Consider the following 25,433-nt stretch of genomic DNA (forward strand, 5'->3'; position numbering starts at 1 on the left):
AGCTTTCCTGCTCCCCAAAACTTTGGTAGTGCCAATGAGTTTTCTTTAAAAACCATATATAACATTTCTCTTTCCAATAAAACCCCCAACTTTTCTGTGTTCTTTGGACACACCAAGGACCACCCTGGTCTATGTGCATGCCACAAAATGAAATTCTGTTTTCCCAAATAAAATGTTTCATTTAAAGATTTGTCCCTATATTTTTATTTGACTTTGACACAGGCATGGCTACTTATTTGCTAGAAGGCCACAGTTCTGCCTGAAGCCTTCCCACATAAACCACAGAGCATTTATTTGCTGAGAGATCACTCCTCGCTTCTTCCTCTCTGACAGAGACTGTGCTGGTATGCTCTAGTGACGTCCCATTCTAAAATGTACGTTGTGGGGGTCCAGCTTCCAAATTACTCTCCATTCAACTTGACAAGTATTTATTGAGCACCTACTGTGTGCCTAGTGCTCAGCAAGTTTTTCCAGGGACTGCTGGGGTCTCCAAACAATACATCCTAATCCTGCCACAGCAGGAACTGAACATTATTACACTGGCTTTGTTCAGAAAGCTTGGCTGGGCCGAGGTTACAGCAGGCCTACTTCATTCAAGTCCCTTGGCTTGGAAATGAGGCTGGATTTTCAACAAAAGTGGAGAGTTGAAATCAGCCTGAGGCTTTAATTCAGTGCATATTTTCATTTGAACTTTGGAGTTACCTCGTGTGCATCAGAAGGGTACAATTCATTGCTTACCTTCCATAGAAGATTCCTCTTCAGAGAGTCTCAGCATTTCTAAGATGTCGTTAAAGCCATAATCTGTCACTTTTAGTACAAAACGCCCATCTACCACACAGTTTCGAGACTTTAGCCTCCCATGAACAAACTCTCTGTGGTGTAAGTACTTCATGCCCTGTAGATGACACAACAGGATTTATTTAGCAACTCATTTAACTATTTTGTGCTTTTAACACCAATTTCTGAGATTGTTAATGGCATGAGCTATTATGATCCAGAACTCAGCTTTTTTCTCTTCTATGCAGGCAAAGTAAACCTTTGACAACCTGAGTCAGTTTTCAGATCCCTCGTAGCTCTAAAATTTTATGCTTTGATAAAGAATGTTATCTTGTGTGTGCAGAGAATTATGTGTTACTAGATTTATTAACATTTCAGATACAGAATGGATCCATATACATATAATTACCAGGAATTTGGAGATTTTGATTTTCCCCAAAAGTTCTAACCCACTCTCACCCATTATTGGCAAGAATGGAAACTGGGACAAACTTGTGCATGGGCAATTTGGCAATAGCTATCAAAATTTAAACTATGTGTACCCTATGATCCAGGGGTTCTACCTCTCCTCCAGAGAAATGCTTGCATGTATACACAAAGAGACAAAGATAAGAATGCTTGTTGTAGCTTTGCTTTTATAATAGTATATAATTGGAAATGCACTAAATATCAATAAGGGACTGGCTAGAGTGTGGTACATTCACACTAGGGAATATTCTGCAGCACTTAAAAAGAATAAGATAGATCTGTATGTAGCTGACATAGAAACAACTCTAATCCATAAAGTAAGTGAAATATAGTAATTACAGAACTATGTGACAGCATGTATATTTAACAAACAAAAAAGTCATCTGTAATGCATATAAATACACAAGAAATTAATTACAAGGTGGGTTGCCAAATTGTTAGCAGTAGTTAACTTTGAGGGGGAGTATGAAGAAAGAGGGTTGAGTAAATGCGAGTATTTTTCCAATATATGTCATTTGCGTTTTACACTTAATATATTATTTTTGTAATTAAAAATAGGCAACCAGAAAGAAGAAAGCTGTCTAGTGCCGATCTCTGCACTTGCTTGGCAGCCTTCATATGGTATTCAAATGTGACCAGGACTCTCGTTCAGATGGATTTATTCATTCTGTATATACATACATTTATATTCTAGTACAGTCATTTCAGAACTTTGTTTGCTAAAAGTCTTTTTAAGTATCTGGCTCTTTTGCAGTGTGACACCCCTTTGTACTTGGAATTCTTTTCACCCTGTGCTCTTGGATAGTCTGCACTCTTCAGTACTTCTGAGTAGAGTCTACAGTGGGCAAGATTCCCCCCATGTTGTCTAACGGTTGCTTTTCATTCATCATGGCCTTGAGGGGATTGTCATATAGAGGCTCCTCCCTTAACTCACTGGGCTTAGCTTACAGTGTGAGCAGAAAAAGTACTAGAATAAGAATCAGGAGATTTGGATTTTATTATCAGCTCCGCCACCTAATAGTTGGCTGAGAAATATTTATTGAGTACCTACTATATGTGCCAGACACTCTATAACAACGAGTACCTCATTTAACCTCCCTGAGCCTCTGTAAAAGGAGGCTAATCACACCTATCTTAAAGGGAATTGGCATGAGAGAATGTCTTTCCCTTTCAAGGCCCCTGAAAAAGGATTAGGCTAGCAGAAAAAGGTCAAGACTATGATCAGTATGCAGGAAGCCCAAAAAGTCATTGAGTATGCAGATCAGCCCTGTAAAAAATGCACATATACACAATTTGCATATCATTCCATGGCGTTCATGGGATCCCCAGAAGCTCCTCCATGGGACTCATCTATGAACCCTACCTTGGCTGTCAGGAATCTTTGGCTCAGAGAATAAAGGTGATGCCTGATAGATCCACTGGTCTTTTGGTTTTCCAGTGGCACTGAGTTCCACATACACAGCCATTGTATGTAAAGACCTCTCACCTAGTTCTAGACTGAGCCACCATTTAGAAGGGTGAAAACTAGGAGGTAGGGCTAAGTAGCACCAAATAATCTGGGAATGAGCACTTTCCCACATCCACAAAGCAGAGAAATTGGATGAAAGAAAGGATCGCTTAAGGCAGAAGAGTGCTTAATGGCAACAGGAAGTAAAGAAAAATCTGGACCTCAAACTGGGGAGAGGACAGGCAAACCTTTTCCATATCTGTATCATATAACAGATATGGACAAAAGGACTGTGAGAAGGGTGGTGGGGTAAAAACTTGGGAAGGAAAGTGATATGGTTTGGCTGGGATCCCACCCACATCTCAACTTGAATGGTATCTTCCAGAATCCCCATGTGTTGTGGGAGGGACCCAGGGGGATGTAATTGAATCATGGGGGCTGGTCTTTTCCATGCTATTCTCATGATAGTGAATAAGTCTCACGAGATCTGATGAGTTCATCAAAGATTTCCACTTTTGCTGCTTCCTCATCTTCTCTTCCCGCTACCATGTAAGAAGTGCCTTTTGCCTCCCATCATGAATCTGAGGCCTCCACAGCCATGTGAAACTATAAGTCCAATTAAACCTCTTTTTTATTCCCAGTCTTGGGTATGTCTTTATCAGCAGCATGAAAATGGACTAATGTAGTATGTTGGTACTACGAGTGGGGCATTGCTGAAAAGATACTCGAAAATGTGGAAGTGATTTTGGAACTAGGTAACAGCCAGAGGTTGGAACAGTTTGGAGGTCTCAGAAGAAGACAGGAAAATGTGGGAAAGTTTGGACTCTCCTAGAGACTTGTTGAATGGCTTTGACAAAAATGCTCATAGTGAGATGAACAATAAGGTCCAGGCTGAGGTGTCTCAGATGGAGATGAGTAACTTGCTGGGAACTGGAGCAAAGGTGACTCTTGTTATGTTTTAGCAAAGACACTGGTGGCATTTTGCCCCTGCCCTAGAGATTTGTGGAACTTTGAACTTGAGAGAGATGATTTAGGGTATCTGGCAGAAGACATTTCTAAGCAGCAAAGCATTCAAAAGGTGACTTGGGTGCTGTTAAAAGCATTCTGTTTTAAAAGGGAAACAGAGCATAACAGTTTAGAAAATTTGCAGCCTGACAATGCAGTAGAAAAGCAAAACCTATTTTTTTAGGAGAAATTCAAGCTGGCTGCAGAAGTCTGCATGAGTAGCAAGGAGCCTAATGTTAATCCACAAGACCATGGGGAACATGTCCCCAGGCCACATCAGAGACCTTCATGGCAGCCCCTCCCATCACAGGCCTGGAGGCCCAGGAGGAAAACGTGGTTTCATGGGCTGGGCCCAGGGTCCCCATGCTGTGTGCAGCCTAGGGACTTGGTTCCCTGTGTCCCAGCTGCTCCAACTGTGGCTGAAAGGGGCCAACATAAAGCTTGGGCTGTGGCTTCAGAGGGCGGAAGCCCCAAGCCTTGGCAGCTTCCATGTGGTGTTGAGCCTGCAGGTGCACAGAAGTCAGGAACTGAGGTTTGGGAACCTCTGCCTAGATTTCAGAAGATGTATGGGAATGCCTGGATGCCCAGGCAAAAGTTTGCTGCAGGAGCAGGACCCTCATGGAGAACCTCTGCTAGGGCACTGAGGAAGGGAAATGTGGGGTCAGAGCCCCCACACAGAATCCCTACTGGGGCACTGCCTAGTGGAGCTGTGAGAAGAGGGCCACCATTCTCCAGATCCACCGACAGCTTGCACTGTGCACCTGGAAAAGCCACACACACTCAATGCCAGCCCATGAAAGCAGCCAGAAGGGAGGCTGTACCCTGCAAAGTCACAGGGGCAGAGCTGCCCAAGACCATGTGAACCCACTTCTTGCATCAGCGTGACCTGGATGTGAGACCTGGAGTCAAAGGAGATCATTTTGGAGCTTTAAAATTTGACTGCCCCACTGGATTTCGGACTTGCATGGGCCCTGTAACCCCTTGGTATTGGCCAATTTTTCCCATTTAGAACAGCTGTATTTACCCAATACCTTTACCCCCATTGTAACTAGGAAGCAACTAGCTTGCTTTTGATTTTGCAGGCTCATAGGCAGAAGGGATTTGCCTTGTCTCAGATGAGACTTTGGACTGTGGACTTTTGGGTTAATGCTGAAATGAGTTAAGACTTTGTGGGACTATTGGGAAGGCATGATTGGTTTTGAAATGTGAGGACATGAGACTTGGAGGGGCCAGGGGTGGAATGATGTGGTTTGGCTGTGTCCCCACCCAAATCTCAACTCAAATTGTATCTCCCAGAATTCCCACGTGTAGTGGGAGGGACCCGGGGGAGGTAATTGAATCGTGAGGGCTGGTCTTTTCTGTGCTATTCTCGTGATAGTGAATAAGTCTCATCAGATCTGATGGGTTTGGCAGGGGTTTCCACTTTTGCTTCTTCCTCATTTTCTCTTGCCACCACCATATAAGAAGTGCCTTTCACCTCCTGCCATGATTCTGAAGCCTCCCCAGCCATGTGGAACTGTAAGTCCAATTAAACATCTCTTTCTTCCCAGTCTCAGGTATGTCTTTATCAGCAGCATGAAAATGGACTAATACAGAAAGTAAGGAGTGAAATGATCACAACAATCTGAGGAAAATAAAATATCCCAAAACATTAAAGTTCTAATCTACAGAGAAAATCCAAGATTTCCTCAGTCTTCCCATTAACCTTTATGAGATCCAGCAAGAGTGATGATTTAAACATCCAGTCAAGTTTCACATCTTGATTTGTCAGTATGTCTTCTAGGCTCCCTCGGGAACAGAATTCTGTCACAATGGCAAACATCCCCGAATCATAGAAGAAACCCAATAAAGGGTTAATATTCTCATGACGCAAGTCCTTCATCTGGAAATGAGAGACAGAAATGAGAGTCACAGCTGTCCTGTCTCAACTGGGGACCACAGTTGAGGGCACATAACCTTCTCTTGACCCTTCTTATGATTGGTTGTGTGGTTGACAGAATTTTGACTCCCATGATGATCTCCAACCCCTAGTGTTACTCCTGTGATTGTGTTTTGTTATACAACAAAAAGGAGATTATCAGGGTGAGCCTAATCTAACTAATCACGTGATCCCATAAAAACAAAAGAAGAGTGCAGAAGATAAATCAGAGAGATTCAAAATATGAGGACTCAACAGACCATTGTTGGCTTTGAAGATGGGGGAAGGAGGCTATAAGCCAAAGAATGTGGGCAGCCTCTAGAAGCTGGTAACCACCCTCAGCTGACACCCAGCAAGAAAGCGGGGACCTCAATTAATATAGTTTTGCTGTGTCCCCACCCAAATCTCATCTTGAATTCCCATGATTCCCACATATTGTGAGAGGGACCCACTAGGAGGTAATTGAATCATGGGGGCAGGTCTTTCCCATGCTGTTCTCATGATAGTGAATAAGTTTCACGAGATCTGATGGTTTTATAAAGGGGAGTTCCCCTGCACATGTCCTCTTGCCTGCCACCACGTAAAACATGTCTTGCTTCCCCTTCACCCTCCCCTATGATTGTGAGCCCTCTCCAGCCATGTGGAACTGTGAGTTCATTAAACTTCTTTCCTTTATAAATTACCCAGTCTCAGGTATGTCTTTATTAGCAGCATGATAACGGACTAATACATTGATCCTATGACCCCACTGAACTGAATTCTGCAGGCAACCTGAAGAAACCTAGAAATGGTTCCCCCTCACCCCAGCCCTGCCCCCTGCCACAGGTCTCCAGATAAGAGCACAGTGCAACTGACACCTTGACTTCAGAGTTTTGAGATGCCAAGCAAAACACCCAGCTGAGTCGGCATTGACTGCTGATCTACAGAACTGTGGGATAATAAATTAGTGATGTTTTACGCCACTAAGTTTGCACTAATTTGTTACAGCAGCAGTAGAAAACAAATTCAATGGCCAAAGGGGAAAATTTCAGAGAGGGATCTCTTTTAGCATAATTATAAGTGAAACTCAAGCTGCAGATTTCTCTCTGATTCCTTTGGGACTTTCTGGAATGGAGCTCAGTGGCTCAAGAGGACTAAAGAGAGATGATACCGTAAAATGTAGAATAGGTTGTCTTTCTATGAATACTCATCTACCTAGCATCTATTAAAATAGCTTCCCTATATAAACATCAGGCCAGAGCTTATACAATTTTTTTCAGAAGAAACATTTAGAATTTTGGCCACACTTTCTCTTTGCATTCATTCATTTTATTTCACTAATGTGAGAAGCATTTAGTGCATGTTCACAACATCCAAGACACTGGAATGCATGCTAGAGAAAAAGAGACAAACAAGATAAAATCACTGTCCCGAAAAAGCTCACATTCAATGAAGGGTGATAAGCAAGTAATCCAACAATTGTATTTTGTTGTGAAATGTGTTCTGAAAAATGGGGGCATGGGATGCTGTAAGAGCTCAAATGTTAAGTATCTAATTCACCCTAGGGTAGTCAGAGAAGGCTTCCCTAAGGAGGTAATATGTGGACTCTCTCAAAGGACAATTAAGAGTTGATCAGGTGATGATGACATGATGAGAGGGGTTGAGAGTGATAGCACATTATGTGGAGAAAACCACAACAGGTTTAGGGTGGCCACAGTGGAGTGTAAGGAAGAGAATATTAAATACCAGACTGGAGAAATGGACAGGAGCCATATCCCATGAGACTTTATGAACCATGCTATGGAATTTGAAATTTATATTGTGGGCACTCAATAATTATCATTTATTATTATTACTACTTAAATGAGGGATGAGAGAGAGGAAAAAAGACTCCATGATCACTCCCAGATTTCTACTTGGATACCTGGGTAGACAGTGGTGCTACATATTAATATAGGGAATTCAGGGATGAGGTAATAGTGGATATGCTGGTGCCCCACCCATATGCCTTTAACCATGCATCCCCCAACTGCTGTGAATGTTGACTGATAACTCATAGTTACTCCATTTTCAAAAAAAAAAAAAAAAAAACTGTCCTAGAGCCCAAATTAATGGTGAGCCACCTTACCTGAGAGGTTAGGTCCCACCCACAGGCCTCAGGCAGTAATTTACTCACTGAGGACAGTACAAAAGTCCAGCTTCCTAGCCTCAAGGTAAGATTCATGGTATAACTTGTGCTCCAGCATTTCCCCATAAGATCATACTGTTGCTAGTTTCCAGCTGAAATCAAATACTTGCTTAACTTTTACCCTGTCCTATCCTAATTCCCTCACTCTTTACCTGAAAGCATTTTCTCCATAAATAATTTGAACAAGAATTTCCATCTCAGGCTCAGATTTTGGGGAATCTGACCTAAGACAGATGGAAAAGCACATTTGGGGGTGGAAAGGCTGATAAATTCAGTTGGAGACGTATTGAGAATGAGGTACCTACAGAACATCAAGGGGGAACTATTTTAAAGACAGTTGTATATTCAGGGTTTGAAACTAAGGAATGAGTTCTGACCAGTATAAATACATGTGGGAATTGTAAGCAATTAAATTTTAGGTAAAATCAGTGGGAACAAATGAGATTACCCAAGGAAAGTATAAAGAAAAAGAGAAAAAGGAAACATCAACATTTGAAGAGCGGGAAAAGGAAGAACAGCCTGCAATAATAAGACTTAGAAGAAAGGCCAGGAAGTAGAGAAAAGCCTATTTAAAACCATATTGTTAAAACCACAGGATTAGTTTCAGGAAAGTGAGAAAAATGCCTGCCAGAAAGAATTTCAGGAAAGTGTGATAAATACCAGAGAGGTCAGGTAAGATGAAGAAAAGTGTCTGGTGAATTTCACCATTAAAATTTATTAATTATAGAAACTTACAACATGTTTACACAGATATGTATATCTATATCTATCTAAATAGATAGAGAGATAGGCTTAGAATGGTAACAGTGTACATGAACAGCAAAAGGCAGATCTGAGATGTATTTTGGAGCTATAAATCACGTGACTTCTTGTGTGGGGAGGGGAGGAAAGAATGAAATAAAGAATTATTCTATTTTGAACACGGAACGGATGGTGGGCCATTTATTGAGATGAATTACACTATAGGACTTAGAATATGAGCTTGCTTCTTAGAATATGATCCAAGCAAAGGTTAAATTATCCCTGGTGGGAATGTCAGCTATTGACCACCAAGGTTGCCTTCTAAGCATAAGGGCCTGGCACCCATGACAATTCTCTTCATCCACTGCAACCTAAACCAGTTAAGGTGGACAGAAACTCAGCCCACAAACAGCAAAATAGGCATTGCTCCTAAAGTTCTATTTTCTTATGAAGCAAGCAGCCAAAACTACTGGGCTCTGGAACTCTGTTGGAAGAAAAAGTAAAAAGTTGTCATATTCAATGCTACTAGCTGTTCAACACAAATGTATTTTCTCTTCTTCTTGGGCAGAGAGCTAATCCATATTTTCCAGTCTTTCTTGGACCTAAGTGTAGCCATATGACTGAATTCCAAGCAATGGAATAGAAGAGGAACCGATATATGCCCCTTCCTCTAGGCAATAAAATGGGAGAGGAAGTGAGACGTGCCATTTCTAGGCTAAGGCTTTTATACCCTCTTCCATATTATTTTCCCACTTCTATGGGTGAATGCAGATGATGACACGGCCCTAAGACATAGCAGAGCCATGAGATGGTTATAGCCTGGGTCCCTGAGTCATGATATTGGAAGAGAGTCACCTGCCAACAGTACAGGAATACCCACCTTGTGCTGTTATTTGGGTGAAAATTAAACTTCTGCTGTGTTTGAGACATTACATATTTGAAGGTCTATTTGTTAAAACATCTAGCATTACACTAATGGTACTAGCATGGGAATAATTCTGTCTAGATCTTTGATAGATCTTTATAGGCATCCATCCTCAGCTGTAACCAACAGAGAAGATCCCATATAAAGAGCAGGTAGATGCCTACATGCAGTCATGTCCTACCAAGATTCTGGACAACCCCAGGATGCAGAGAAAGTTTGCAACATCAGCTTTAGCAAGATGAGCATTTACAGGGTAGACATATACTTTACCTCTTCCATAATACCTATCTGGCTGGCTACCATCAAATGTTTAAGAGTTGAATGTGTCCTGTCTCTCAAGGATTTTGTTAGCTTCATATTTGACAAGACACCTTTTTTTTTTTCTGAGATGGAGTCTGACTCTGTCACCTAGGTTGGAGTGCAGTGGCGCAATCTCGGCTCACTGCAACCTCCGCCTCCCAGGTTCAAGCGATTCTCCTGCCTCAGCCTCCTGAGTAGCTGGGATTACAGGTGCATGCCACTACACTCAGCTAATTTTTCATATTTTTGGTAGAGACAGGGTTTCACCATGTTGGCCAGGCTGGTCTCGAACTCCTAAACTCAAGTGATCCACTCGCCTTAGACTCCCAAAGTGTAACACGACACCTTTAAGCATACAGCCACCAGAGACATCTGTTCCTAAGTCAAATACTGACCTAAGTTATCTGAAGGACTCCTTCACCCACTTGAAAAAAGTTCCTAGGATGTCATAACACCAGAATTAATCTCTACGTGTCCCTCTTCCACAGCAGCTGAAATCCCATCCTAGAGGTGGGTATGTATACCTTTATGAAAATGTCATTCTCCACATAAGTGCTCACCCGCAGCTATATCAGCAATTGCTGTCTATTTTGACAAGAAAATTTTCTTTCTTCTTTTTTTTTTTTGAGGCAGAGTCTCGCTCTCGCTCTGTCGCCTAGGCTGGAGTGCAGTGGCGCAATCTCAGCTCACTGCCACAACCACCTCCCAGTTCAAGTGATTCTCGTGCGAATCTCCTCCCAAATAGCTATTTCTCCTCCCAAATAGCTGGGATTACTGATGCGTGCCACCATGCCCAACTAATTTTTGTATTTTTAGTAGAGACAGGGTTTCACCATGTTGGCCAGGCTGGTCTTGAACTCCTGACCTCAGGTGAGCCGCCCACCTCGGCCTCCCAAAGTGCTGGGATTACAGGCACGAGACACTGTGCCTGGCCTCGACAAGAAAATGTTGTACCTCCATGAGTTAATTGGTGATTCATGTCTGTTTCCTGCATTTCTTTTTATTTTTATTTTGTTGTAAAGAGCTATTGTTCAAGACCTCCTATCCCCGTATCAACCTACCCACTATCTAACACCCAGAAGTCAATGGTCATATAGAACACATTAACCAGGTACTAGTGAAAGACTTCTGATCCTATATTTCCCACTAGCAATATTTTATTCATTTAAAAAACTTTTTAGTACCTATTATTTGCCAGTCCCTGAGAGACAGACCGGGGACAAATGATGAACAAAATGTTACATGGTTTCTGACCTCTTGTTTTAACCAGATGATTACACAATGATACAAAATTTGCGACTCTGACAAGTCCTATGGAGGAGAGTTACATAATGTGAGTATGTATAATTGGGGCTTTGACCAATCAGAGAAGTTGGGACAGGCTTCATGGGAAGTAAGAATTGATCTGGGAGTTAAAAGATGAGTGGATTAAACCATGCAAAGAAGGGAAGGAAAAGTATTTTAGGGGTTGTAATAGAACAGGTAAAGGCTTTGCGCTGGGAGCATATCACAACCCAAACACTAAGTAAAAGCCAGTGTGCCTTAAGCAGAGCGGTTGAGGGAAATATGATGGTGATATAAGACTGAAGAGACAGGGAAGAGCCAGATTATACAGAATCTAATAGGTCATTTTAAGTAGCTATTTATTTATATTAAAAATGATTATAGGGACATTGAATACCAAGTAGGGTGTAGTAGGTTATGGCAGACCACCATTCCTGATGCTACAGCTTTTAACAGCTAGAAAAATTGAAAAAATATATTAAAAAAAAAACCACTGGGGACATGTAGGTGCAAAAAAAGAATCTAAAACTCAAAGATGCAAGAGCCCTTCTAAGATAACCAGGCTGTTGTCAGCCATTTTCTTCCCTGAGGACATCTGCTGATTTCCAGCACAAGCCAAAGATTGGGCTTAGCCTAACAGAAAGAATTTGCTGGGAAAATGCAAAAACTGGTAATGCTTTTGGCAATTGTAGAAGACTGGTATCACAATTAATAAATTTCAGGAGGCCTAAATGTGAGCTAGTTTTCTCCCCACAGCATATTTTCTGAGTCTGGGGGCTATAGAGGAGACTAGAAAGCTTCTGTAAAATTGTTTGAGATCTTCTGTAGTTTCCAAATATTTAGAAGACAAAGTCTCACTGAAGAAATAGGGCCTGCAACAAACATTCGGTTGGTGTCTTCCTCAAGAAATTTGCCAAATTTGGAAGCAGCATGGATTGAGAGTAGAGGAAAAAGGTTATGAAGTACAGTCTGAATATCCCAATCTTTCAAAGTGGAGGAGAGAGACTTGTAGACTTTTGGAAGGATATGCCTGAGAAACAGTAGAATTAGTGGTGGACTGAGTCTAACTAAAACTGCAACACAGCTTCAATCCTGCTCAATCTTTGATTCGATTAATGTGATTAGTTCCTTACCCAATCCACCTAACAAATGAAAAGAGAAAAGTCCTTGCTGGTAGAAATTATGACCTGGAGCTTCTACCATTTATTTACATAAAATATCTAGCATAAAATAAAAAACATTAGATACTTGGGAATGCATAACAAAGTCAGAAGACAATTGAACACTGTCTTTAAATACTCAGTAGACAAAGAAACCTATAAAATATGAATCAAATATTCTAAAAACCATTTGAAGACAGTGAAGAGTGACCGAAAGCAGAAATGGAGGTAGAACTATATTTGAAAGACAACTAAAATGAGTAAAATTTGGGTTTACCTACAAGAACAAAAAAATAGTTCTTTAGAGCAACACCACAGGATCCAGAGTTTCTAAAATGTATTATTGATAATATTCAGTAATGAACCAAAAAGCCTTAGATGTACAAAGAAATAGAAAAAAATGTGACCCATACTCCAGGAAAAAAAAAGGTCAATAGAAATTCATCCCAAAATGACACAAATCTTGCAATTAGCAGAAAAGGCCTTTAACACAGATTTTATAAATATATTTGAAGATTTAAAGGAAAATATATGCAAAATGAATATATGGGTATAGAACATGGCAGAGAAAAAGAAACTATAAATATGAACCAATTGGAAAGTATATAGCTGGAAAATATAATAACTGAAGTAAAAAAATTTGCTAGGTGGGCTTAGGAAATGACATAAGAGTAATGAACTTGAGGAGAGATCAATAAAAAATACCCAGTCTGAAAAACAGAGGGAAAAAGGATAAGTGGGGACAATATCAAACAGACTAACACATAGGTAACTTGAGTTCTAGAAGGATATAAAGAAAATGCAGCAAAACAATTTTTTTTAGAAATAGTGGTCAAAACCTTTGTGAATTTAGTAAAAGACATCAACTTAAAATTCTAAGGAGCTCATTGAACTTCAAACAGAATAAACACAAAGAAAATGCCCTGCATATATCATATTCAAACTCCTACAATCCAAAGATGAACTTAAAGATCTCAGAAGTTCAGTGACCCACCAAGGAGATTAAATACAAAGAAAGCAATACCTAGACATTTAACAGTCAAAACCCTGAAATATGAAAATAAACTTTTGAAGGTAGTCAGAGAAAAACAGTACACACTACATACAAAGAAATGAATAATGGCTGACTTCTCATCAGAAACAAAGAAATGCAAAAAAAAAAAAAAACCAATGAAACGAAATCTTTAATATGCCAAAAGAAAATAAACACAGATAACTCATAATTCTGTACCAAGCAAAAATATCATTCAAAATCAAAGACATTATCAAATAGACGAAAACTGAGAAAATTCATCATCAGCAGGCCTGCAATACAAGTAATGCCTAAGGGGAGGATCTTCAGGTTGAAGAGAAAAGATGCTAAATGGTAACTTGGCTCTATTAGGAGATAATTAAAGTTATCAGAAATAGTAAATATGTTGATAAATATAACAGAATATATTTTTATTTCATTCTCTTAATTTGTATGAAATGCATATGAATGTTTAAAACAAATTTTAACACTATATTATATGGTTCACAATAAATGTAGGTATACATATGATAACAATAGGGCAAAGAATAGTAGGCTAGTAAATGGGACACTGCTGTTACAAATTTCCTATGTTTTAAGTAAAGAAGTGGAATATTAATTCTAAGAAGACTATGATAAATTCAAGATGCATTTAAGCAATTCCTAGGACAGTCACTAAAACGTGCAAAAATGTATCGCTAAAATGCCAATATAGGAAACAAAACGGAATATATGAAAAACACTTTTATCCCAAAGGAAAGCAAGAAAAGGGAAACAAAGGAACAAACAGAGACATAGATGAGTCAAATAGAGAACATATAGCAAAATAGATGATGAGAAATCTAACTGTATCAATAAGTGCCTTAAATGTAAGTAGCCTAAACATTTCAATTAGAAGACAGATTGCAGAATGGGGAGATAAAAAGCAAGACACAAATGCCTGCTCCCTAAATAAGATGAACATTAATCCAAAGACACAAATGCATGGAAAGAAAAAGTACAGAAAAAGTAAATCATGCAAAAAACTAATTAGCTAAATTGGCTATGTTATTATTGGACAAAATAGAAATCAAGAAAAAAGTATTATCAGACATAAAGAGGGACATTTCATAATGATAAAATAAGACATAATAATAAAATGTATATGTGCAAAGATGTGCTGGATCATAAGAAGAATATTTGATGTGCTGGATCATAAGAAGAATATTTTGCATATTTCTTACCATCTCTGTGTTCAGTGACATCACATGGGTAGCCCCAGATTAGTTACAATGGAGGTACTCACAGCACAGAAATCAGAAAATGCTCCAAATTAGGGATCTTTTTCAGAAAGCCTGTTGTTAAACATTTACTAGCACACCAATATGTACGTACTTAATAACAGAACTTCAATGCACCTGAAGAAAACACTCACAGAATTAGAAAATAGGAAAATTTTACGGTAATTGATAAAGCATATTGACAAAAATGCAGTAAGGATATAGAAGATCTGAATCACACTATCAACCATCTTGACCTAATTGATATTGATAGGACTCTATACCAAACAACTGTACAATATGCATTAATTTCAAATGTATGTGGAATGTTCAGTAACACAGACCACATGCTTGGCTATGGCCAAAGTTTTTGATAAATTTCAAGATTAAATTTGCAGATAATATTCTTTGACCACAACAGAATTAAATGAGAAATCTATTAATTATGATATCTAGAAGGGCCACAAATATCTGGTAATTAAGCATATATTTCAAAATAATACATGGGTCAAAAAAGAATAATGAAATCATAATTACTTCAAGCTGAAAGGTCAATGAAAATATAACATAAAATTTTGCAGGATGCAGCTACAGCAGAGCTTAAATGTAAATATGTCGCTTAAATTAAAAAGAAAGAATGTTCAAAAAATAAGAATGAATAAACCAAAAATAAGCAGAAAGAAGGAAATAATAACAATAAGAGCAGATAAAAATAGAAAATAGCCAAAATGTGGAGAAAATTAACAAAATCAAAACATTGTTCTTTAAAACAAAGTAATAAATTTAATAAATCTCTAAGAAGACTGATCAAGACAAAAAGAAAAAGAAAAAATTATTAATATCTAGAATGAAAGATATGGTATCACTACAGATCATACGGATATCAGTAAGATGATAAAGGAATTTTTAAACAACTTTATGCTAATAAAGTCAATAACGAATTTGACATTTCTTGAAAAACACAACTGATTAAACTTGGCACAATATGAAATAATAATCCTAAGAGCCCTATATTTAGCAAAGAAATTGAATTTGTTTTCAAAAACATCCCCACAAAGAAAATCCAAGGACCAAATGATTTTATTGATGAAATTTATTAAAAATTTTAATAAATAATACCAGTCTTACAGAAACTCTCAGAAAAAGGCAAAGACTTCCAAACTTGTTTTATGAAGCCAAACATAACCCTGACAAACATTAAAAGTATAGACTAATTCTTCTTAAAAACATAGATGCAAAATTCTTTTAAAAGATTAGCAAATATCGTCTAGCAATATATTAAAATGATAATATATCGTGACCAAGTGGAATTCATCCCGGGGATATTAGGATGTGCTTAATATTTCTTTCAAAAACTATGTAATTCACCATGTTAACAGAATAAAAGAGCAAAACCACTGAATAATTGCAATAGGTAGCAATATAAATATAAAACCTCTTTATGATTAAAAGAATCATAGAAACTCAGAAATGTGAAAAACTTTCAGGTAACATCAAACCTAAAAATAAAACATTGATTCCTTTTCCTCTAAGGCCAGGAACAAGGCAAAGATGTCTGCTCTTACCATTTCTACTCAACATGTATAATAGTATCAAAACTTTGATAAGAAAAAATAAAGAAAACTTAAATAAATGGTGACATATACCACATTAATGGACTGAAAGACTCAGTATTATTAAGATGTCCATTTTACCTAAATGTCTCTATAAATTCATTGCAATCCCCATCAAAAATTACAGAAAACCTTGTGGAAGTAATAGACAGGCTGATTTCAAAATTTATTTTAAATTTAAAGAATTTACAATGTCCAAAACAATCTTGAAAAAAAAAGTTAGAGGCTTACACCACTTGACTTTAGGAGGTACTCTATAGTTATGATAACCAACGGAGTGTGATATTGGCATTATGGTTACACTAATGAGTGAAGGAAACAGAACAGAGACTCCAAAAATATATGCACACATATATGGTCAGTTAATTTTTCACCAAGTTACAACATTAATTCAATGGAAAGCTTTTTAAAAACAATTGTTACTGGAACCCTGGGTATCTATATGCAAAAAATGAACCTTGATCATTGTCTCAGTCTCTACACAAAAAGTAATTCAAAATGGATCATAGGCCTAAACCCAGAATCTTGGACTAGACAAGGATTTCTTAGGCCACCAAAAAAAAAAAAAGAAGAAGAAGAAAAAGAAAGAGAGAGGGGGAGGGATGGAGGGAGGGGGAAAGAGAGAGAGAGAGAAAAAGAGAAAGAAAGAAGAAAGAAAAGAAGAGAGAAAGAGAAAGAAAGAAAGAAAAAGAAAGAGAGAGAGAGAGAAAGACAAAGAGAAAGAAAGTAGGAGGGACAAAGGGGGAGGAAAAAGGGAGAAGGAGAGGGAAAGGGAGGGGAGTTGGAGGGGAAAATAAAATGATAAATTGGACAATTGGACTTCCTTGAAACTAAAAATGTTGCTCAACAGAAGACATCATAGACAAGCCACAGATTGAGAAAAATAATTACAAAATAAATAGTTCAGCAAAGGCTATTCAGGATATATAAAGAATGTCTGTAATTTAAAAACAAAAATACAAAAAAGTCCCAATGTTTAAGACTGGGCAAAAACTTGAACAGGCTCTTCACACAAGAAGATATACAAGTGAATTGTAAACACATTAAAAGGGTGCTCAAAAACTTTAGTCATCAAGAAAATGCAAATTAAAGTATAAGATACCATTTCACACACACTAGAAAGGCAAATATCAAAAAGACAAATGTTAAGAATTTAGAGCAACTGGAATATTTCCGATGGAAATGTAAAATGTCAAAACTGATTTGGAGAACAGTTTGGATGTTTCACATAAAGTTACACATACAACTACTCTATGACCCAGTTTTATTCTTATGTATCTACTCAAGAGAAGTGAAAATATATGTTCACAAAAGACATATATAAAAATCTTTATAGCTTTCTATGAAAAGATGGCCAACACCACCAATTAATAGAGAAATGAAAATCAAAACCTCTAGGAGATATCACCTTAACCCCATTATGATGGCTACAGAAAATAAGTGTTGGCAAACATGTGGAGAAATTGGAACACTTGTGCACTGTTGGTGGGATTGTAAAATGGTGCAACTGCTATGGAAAACAGTATGAAACTTTATAAAAATATTAAAAATAGAGCCATCTTATTAGCCAGCAATCTTACTTCCAGATATATGTACAAAAGAAGTGATAGCACAGTCTCAAAGCGGTATTTCTACACCCATGTTCCTAGCAGCACTATTCACGTTAGCCAAGAGGTGGATGTAACCCAAACATTTAACAATGAACAAATGAATAACATACAATGGACTATTACTCAGCCTTAAAAAGGAAGGAAATCCTGTCACATGCTACAACATGAATGAACCTTGAGGACATTATGCCAAGTGAAATAAGACAGTCACAAAAACACAAATACTATATGATTACACTTACATGAGATATCTAAAGTAGTCAAATTCATAGGAACAGAAAGAGTGGTAGTTACCAGGGGCTGTTGGAAATAGAAAAGGGGAGATTTTCAAGATCAGATTTGCAAGATGAAAAAGCTTAAGATTTGCAAGATGAAAAAGTTCTGGAGATATGTTTCACAACAATGTGAATATGCTTAACACTACTGAACTGTATACTTAAAAATGGTTAAGATGGTAAATTTTATGTTATGTGATTTTTTTTACCATAATGAAAAATGTTTATAGTTGCCTTATTCATAAAATTGTCAAAAAAAACTCTTCTAAAAAATTAGAATCAAGCCAAATGTTCAACAGGAGAATGATAAATTGTGATATAGTCATAAAATGAAATACAACTAGGCAATTTAAAAAGTGACCTACAGGTATATGCAAAATCATATGTTAATCTTAAAAAGCATTGTGCTGACAGAAAGAAGACAGGCACAAGACACTGTATCATTCCATTTACATAAAATCAAAGAACAGAAAAAAATACTAATTTATTTTAATAGATATCAGAATAGTGATTGCCTATGGGATAGGATAAATTACTGAAAAGGAGGACAAATGAACTTTCCGGTGTAATGAACATATTAGTAACTTTTTTGGAGAATGGTTACATAGATACATGCAATTGTCAAAATTCACTGAACAGAACATCTAGCATGTGTACATTTTATTTTATGTTGATTATACCTGAATAGAAAACATATTTTATAAACACAATGAAACATTATGCTAAGTTAAATGAGTGAGTCACAAAATGACAAATACTGTATGATTCTACTTATATAGGATATACGAAGTAGTGAAAATTCATAGAAAAAGAAAATAGAATGGTGTTTACCAGGAACTTCAAGAAGAAGGAAATGGAGAGTTGTTTAATGGGTACAGAAATTCAGTTTTTCAAGGTGAAAAAGTTCCAGAGATATGTTGTACAACAATGTGAATATACTTAACACTACTTAACTGTACACTTTAAGGTGGTAAATTTTATGTCTTTTTAGCAGAATTAAAAATAAAAAACACTATGAGATAACCTCATCAAGTCACTAGAATGACTAAAATTAAATTAACTGACAACATCAAATATTGGCAATGATGTAGACCAAAGGGAATTCTCATAACTTGTGTGCAGGAAAGTAAAATGAGAAAATATTTCACAGTGTGTTATAGAGTTAAGTGTATACTATTCTTTAACCGAGAAATTCCCTCCCTGGTATTTCTAGGAGAAATTCTCAAGAGAAATTCAAATATGTGTCCATAAAAAGACTGGTTCAAGAATATCCATTGCACTTATATTGACAATAGCCAAAATTGCAATCAACCCAAATGTCCATCAGCAGGAAAATGGATAATTAAATTGTGCTATATTTATGCAATGGAATACTACTTAGCAATAAAAAGGAACAAGCTACTTATACATGGATGAATATCACAGTCTTTCTGTTGTCTGTTTCCACTTATATGATGTTTTAGAAGGAGCAAAATTAATGCAAGTTAAACAAACAAACAGAAAAACAGAACTGTGGTTGCCTCTGGTTTTCGGTGAACACAAATTTTCTAAGGGACACAAGTGAAATTTTGGAGAGAAGGGAATGTTTTATATCAGGGTCAGCAATCTTTTTCTATAAACTACAGATAATAAATAACTTGGACTTTGCAGATAATACATGGTTTCTGTTGTTGTTTTCTTTTGTCATAACCCTTTTTAAAATGTAGAAAATATTCTTTGCTTCCAGTCTGTAAAAACAGGCTATGGGCCATAGTTTGCTAATCCCTATTTTATATCATGATAGAAGTCTAGATTGTAGGGGTCCTTTTATCAAAATTATAGAGAAATGATATGGGCATTTCAACGTGTGTAACTGTACCTAAAAATACAGAATTGAAAATTAATAATAACCACCACCAAATTAGGGATGTGAGAAATGGGTGAAGGTATAGATGAAAAAATACAGGATAGTGATGATTGTTGAAGGTGAGTTTTGGACACATAAATGTTATACTATTTTGTTTATTTTGCATATGTTTCTTCTTTTCCTTTTTTTTTTTTTGGTTTGGTAGCGATGGGGTCTCTTTATGTTGCCCAGGCTGGTCTCCAACCCCTGGGCTCAAGCTATCATCCTGCCTCAGTCTCCCAAAGTGCTGGGATTACAAAAAGTGGTTTTTATTAAAAAAAAAAAAGAAAAATTTCTGGGTGGTAGCTGAAGCAGTGCTTAGAGGAGATTTTCTAGCCGTAGGTGACTAAATTAGAAAATAAGAAAGGTTAAAGTCAACCATCACAGCTTCCCACTCAGAAAACTAGTAAAAGAGCAACAAATTAAATACAAAGTAAGTAGAAGGAAGGAAAAATAAGAATATAGATCAATGGGACACAAAGCAGGCATACAATAGAGAACAATCAACAAAGTTCAAAGTTGATATTTGGAAAAGATGAATAGAATTAATAATCCTCTAGCAATGCTGATTAAGAAAAAAACATAAATTATCAGTATCAGGAATGAAACAGAGAACATCATTACAGATCCTAAGGATATCTAAAAGACAGCTTGAGCATATCATATACAACTTTGTGCCAATAAGTTTGATAACATATATGAAATGAACAACTTCCTTTAAAGCCATAACTTACCAAAACTGGCACAAGAAGAAACAGAAAGTTTGAATAGTCCAGTATCTATTAAAGAAATTGAATCTATTATTTGAAATCACCACACAAAGGAAAGAACAATAGGAATCTATTAAAGAGATTTAAGCAGAGAAGTGATAAAATCAGACTCAATTTTGAAAAGAGTAGTTTGCAATGTGAAGAATGGATTTGAGAGTGGATGTGATTAAAATACTTAAAAGACAATTGCAAGGTGCCAGGGGTTAGGGGGAGAGAGGTGTGAACAGGTGGAGCACAGAGGATTTTTAGGGGACTGAAACTATTCTGTATGTTGCTATAATGGTGAATACATGCCATTATACATTTGCCAATGCTCGCAAGATATATAACACCAAGAGTTTACCCCAATGTAAACTATGGACTTTGGGTGAAAATGATGTGTCAGTGTAAGTTCATGATTATAATCAGTGAGCCACCCTGTTAATAGTGGGAGAGGCTGTGCATAGGTGGGGACAGGAGATACATGGGAACTCTCTGTGCTTTCTGCTCAATTTCCTGTGAACCCAAAATAGTTCCAAAAAATTAAGTCTAGATGTTGGTGTGGATGTAGTGAACAGGGAACACTTTTTTTTTTTTTTGAGATGGAGTTTCACTCTTGTCACCCAGGCTGGAGTTCAATGGCATGATTTTGGCTTACTGCAACCTCTGTCACCCGGGTTCAAGCAATTCTCCTGCCTCAGCCTCCAGAGTAGCTGGGATTACAGATGCCCACCACCACACTCAGCTACTTTTTGTATTTTTAGTACAGACAGGGTTTCACCACGTTGGCCAGGCTGGTCTCGAACTCCTGACCTCAGGTGATCCACCTGCCTCGGGCTCCCAAAGTGCTGGGATTACAGGCATGAGCCACCATGCCCAGCTGAACAGGGAACACTTCTACACTGCTAGTGGGAATGTAAACTAGTACAACTACTACGGAAAACAGTGTGGAGATTTCTTAAAGAACTAAGAGTAGAACTACCATTTCATTCAGTTTTCAATCCCACTACTGGATATCTACCCAGAGGAAAAGAAGTCATTATGTGAAAAAGATACTTGTACACGCATGTTTACAGCAGCACAATTTGCAATTGCAAAAATATGGAACCAGCCCAAATGCCCATCAATCAACGAGTGGATAAAGAAATTGTTGTGTGTGTGTGTGTGTGTGTGTGTGTGTGTGTATAGATATGATATATATGTATATATATATATTATATGTGTGTACATATATATCACATCATATATACATATATTTATATATATGATGGAATACCACTCAGCCATGAAAAGGAATGAATTAATGGCATTTACAGCAACCTGGATGGAACTAGAGACTATTATTCTAAGTGAAGTAGCTTAGGAATGGGAAACTCAACATCGTATGTTCTCACTCATAAGTGGGAGCTAAGTTATGAGGATGCAAAGGCATAAGAATGATACAAAGGACTTTGGGGACTCGGGGGAAAGGGTGGGAGGGGGGCGAGAGATAAACGACTACAAATTGGGTTCAGTGTATACTGCTTAGGTGATGGGTGCACAAAAATCTCACAAATTGCCACTAAAGAACTTATTCATGTAACCAAATACTACCTGTTCCCCCCAAAAAACTATGGAAATAAATTTTTTTAAGAAATTAAGTCTATGAAAAGAAAAAAAGACAATCTTAGTAGCTCTAGTGGGAGATGATGGTGCTTGGACCAGGATACTAATAGTAAAAATCGAGAAAGAGAAGGACATTGGAGCTTCAAGGAAAATGGAGAAGCTTTGATGTATGGGTGGTAGGAAGTGAATTAACCAATGAAGTATAATGGAATTATGAGGTAGTAGTAAGGGACATTTAAATATAAGAAACCATGAATTTATAGTGGAAACAATATACTTTGCTGCATAACTTTCTGCTACAATATTTGGCTGTTCAAGTGCAAGCACAAAGAAAGTTAAGAGTTGGGATCATACAGAACTAGAGTTTTGCAAGTGTGTCTGACCAAAAAGACAGAAATATTAATAAGAACATGTTCAAATGATAGACTATAGACTCTGAATTGGACAATAAAGTAAATAAAACAAGGGCTTGTGAGTTTGGAGAAAGCAGAGGTCAGTAGACTGGAAGACCTGATATAGTCAAATATAGGCACAGTTGGGATAAAAGGAGGTTGTAATCAGAGAGTGTGATGAATTCATAATTTGGGAGGTGAAGCATTTTCTTTTTTCTATTTTTTGAGACGGAGTCTTGGTCTGTCGCCCAGGCTGGAGTGCAGTGGCGTGATCTCGGCTCACTGCAAGCTCCGCCTCCCGGGTTCACGCCATTCTCCTGTCTCAGCCTCCTGAGTAACTGGGACTACAGGCACCGGCCACCACGCCTGGCTAATTTTTTTGTATTTTTAGTAGAGACGGGGTTTCACCGTGTTAGCCAGGATGGTGTCGATCTCCTGACCTTGTGATCCGCCCGCCTCGGCCTCCCAAAGTGCTGGGATTACAGGCGTGAGCCACCACACCCGGCCAGGTGAAGCATTTTCAGTAGCAGTTATAGAAGATGGAAAAGCAGAAGGTATTAATATAATGGTAGCAGTGTTTGGCCAAAGTAGAATGGAAGAGAAGATTATTAGGATGATATGGCAAAGAATGAAATAGTCAAGATATATAGTTGTCCACAGTCCATGTCCAATTGATGTCACCAGCATAACAGCAGGTCTTGGAGTAGAGAGGAGGACCATGATACATATCCCAAAATATTCAATAAATTAAGGGTAGCGAATATGGAGAGTAGATGGAAGTAACAGGAGGTGTAGAAGATGCTAAAACAGAGAATGGCATTAGCCTCAAAAGCTTGTGAATGTGTTTAACAAAGGCAAAAGAATCATTGTTTGGGAAGCGTCATCAGTAAGCAGGGGATACAATTTCACCACATGGTCATGATCTTGAGGTACTGAGGCATAATAACAGCCCCACTGGAGAAGAAATGGCTACAGGGAAGATAATATTCTCAATAGAGGCTCTAGAATGGCCCCAAATATTTTTTCACAAAGTAAACACTTTGTTTCACAGCAACTGCAGTTTCCTTCTCTTCACATTTCTTAAAGAAAGAGACACTCTCTAACAACTGAGAATTTCCTTTAAAGAACTCCAGGATACTTTCCATTTGCCTTTATAGGAGTACAGGGAATATGCCAATCAGTTCCACATTATGGGGAAGAACATGAGACTAAGAGATACAGCCTAATTTTCCTGCACGCAATTTTGCAGAAGTTGTGATCTTAAAAGATGTTGGAAATTATCAGCTCTGTGGCCTTCTGACTCCAGCTGTTTGTTTTTCAAGGACATCCATCCCATTGTGCACTGCTCCTTTCTATATCTGGCTCACAAAGATCTGCTTTCCATCTGGATCCTGGTACCCAGCCCTAACGTTTTGAGGTCATGAATACACATAAGTAGTCAAGGCAGTGCTGGACTCACAGTGACACTATGATCAGATCCACCTCCAGCTTCAAAAAAGCATTCAACTAAAAAGCATTAAAGCACATCTACATGGTAAATTCTAGAAAATCCTGGCTTTCTAAGTTTGAGTTACACTCTATACCTGACATGGCCACCCAAGTCAGTGAAGGAAACACATAAACAGATGTCATGAGGATAATGGGAAGGCAGTTTTTTCACTGTCAGAGAAGGAAATTACAAATATGGAAAAGTTAAAAAAGAAACGGAATTAACACTGTGGCACTGGATTAGAATTAGAGAGTTTAGTATGAATTTATGGTTTTAGATAGACAGATTGATTGATATGAATATTATAGATACTAATTGAATAAAATAAAAATCCATATGTGCACACTGATATAAATAATTGAATGAATAAATAAATGAGGAAGAAGAGAAGATTCTTTCTTATAATAAAATGTCAACCAGTAAATGCAGAAACAATGATGGAATACGACATTTATCAATGGATGTCAAAATTATTGGGTAAAACTTTGATGAAGAACAGGATATTTACATAGATTAAAGTATCTCCCCCAATGTTATGTATTAATTACAATGAGATAAATACAGTTACTCTCCAGTGGAGGAACTTGGCAGACACCACCTAAATTAAGTAATCAGGTTAACATCACCAGTAATGGGATGATCAACATCATCCTGATAAAGTGCCTCCTGATAAAGTGCACTGAAAAAGACACATAACTTCTGTAGTATTCCGGCTGAAGATGCATAGTCTAAATCGATCTTGAGGAACACAGGCAAACTAAAATTGAGGGACAGTCCATGAAATAATTGATCTGAATTCATCAAAAATATCAAAATGAAGAAAAACAAAGAAAATCTGAGAAACCGTTACAGATTAAAAGCAACTAAAAAGATATGACAGCAAACTGAATGTGTGAGACTGGATTGGAAACTGACCTGTGGGAATATTAGCTGTATTGTATAAGACCATTAGTAAAATTAGAATATGGGAAGTAGTTTAGATAATAATATTGTAGCAATGTTAAATTTTCTGATTTTGATCATTATACTGTAGTGTTTTTAGGAAGTACACACTGAAGTATTTAGAGGTAAAAGGGCATAGGGTCTACAACTTACTCTCAAATGGCTCAGAAAAATAATGTGCATAAATATATAAATAGATAATAAAAAGCAACTAGGCAAAATGTACACAATTGCTGAATCTTTGAATTATTATTGAAGCTTTTTGTAGGTTTGAAATTATGTCAAAATTAAAAGCTACCCCAAAAAAGATGTCATGGACACACTCTACCTTGGGTCAATACTTCTAGTGTATCAGCTGTCTCAGGTTTGGCCTGTTTTGGCACCATAATTTGGATTACGAAACCAGTGTA

At 37.5% G+C, this 25,433-nt stretch overlaps 1 protein-coding gene across 1 annotated transcript in view; it reads right to left on the bottom strand.

Annotated features, from left to right (window-relative positions):
* Positions 1–25,433, bottom strand: part of GUCY2F (guanylate cyclase 2F, retinal) — a 109,181-nt gene that overhangs the window by 30,684 nt on the left and 53,064 nt on the right. Inside the window, exons 9-10 of the mRNA NM_001522.3 lie at positions 5,403–5,579; positions 739–895 (exon numbers count right to left, since the gene is read on the bottom strand). Of these exons, the coding sequence (NP_001513.2) occupies positions 739–895; positions 5,403–5,579 (334 nt within the window). The remainder of the gene's footprint in view (positions 1–738; positions 896–5,402; positions 5,580–25,433) is intronic.

The sequence above is a fragment of the Homo sapiens genome, chromosome X (assembly GCF_000001405.40).
Source record: "Homo sapiens chromosome X, GRCh38.p14 Primary Assembly".
In the NCBI taxonomy this organism is placed as follows: Eukaryota; Metazoa; Chordata; class Mammalia; order Primates; family Hominidae; genus Homo; species Homo sapiens.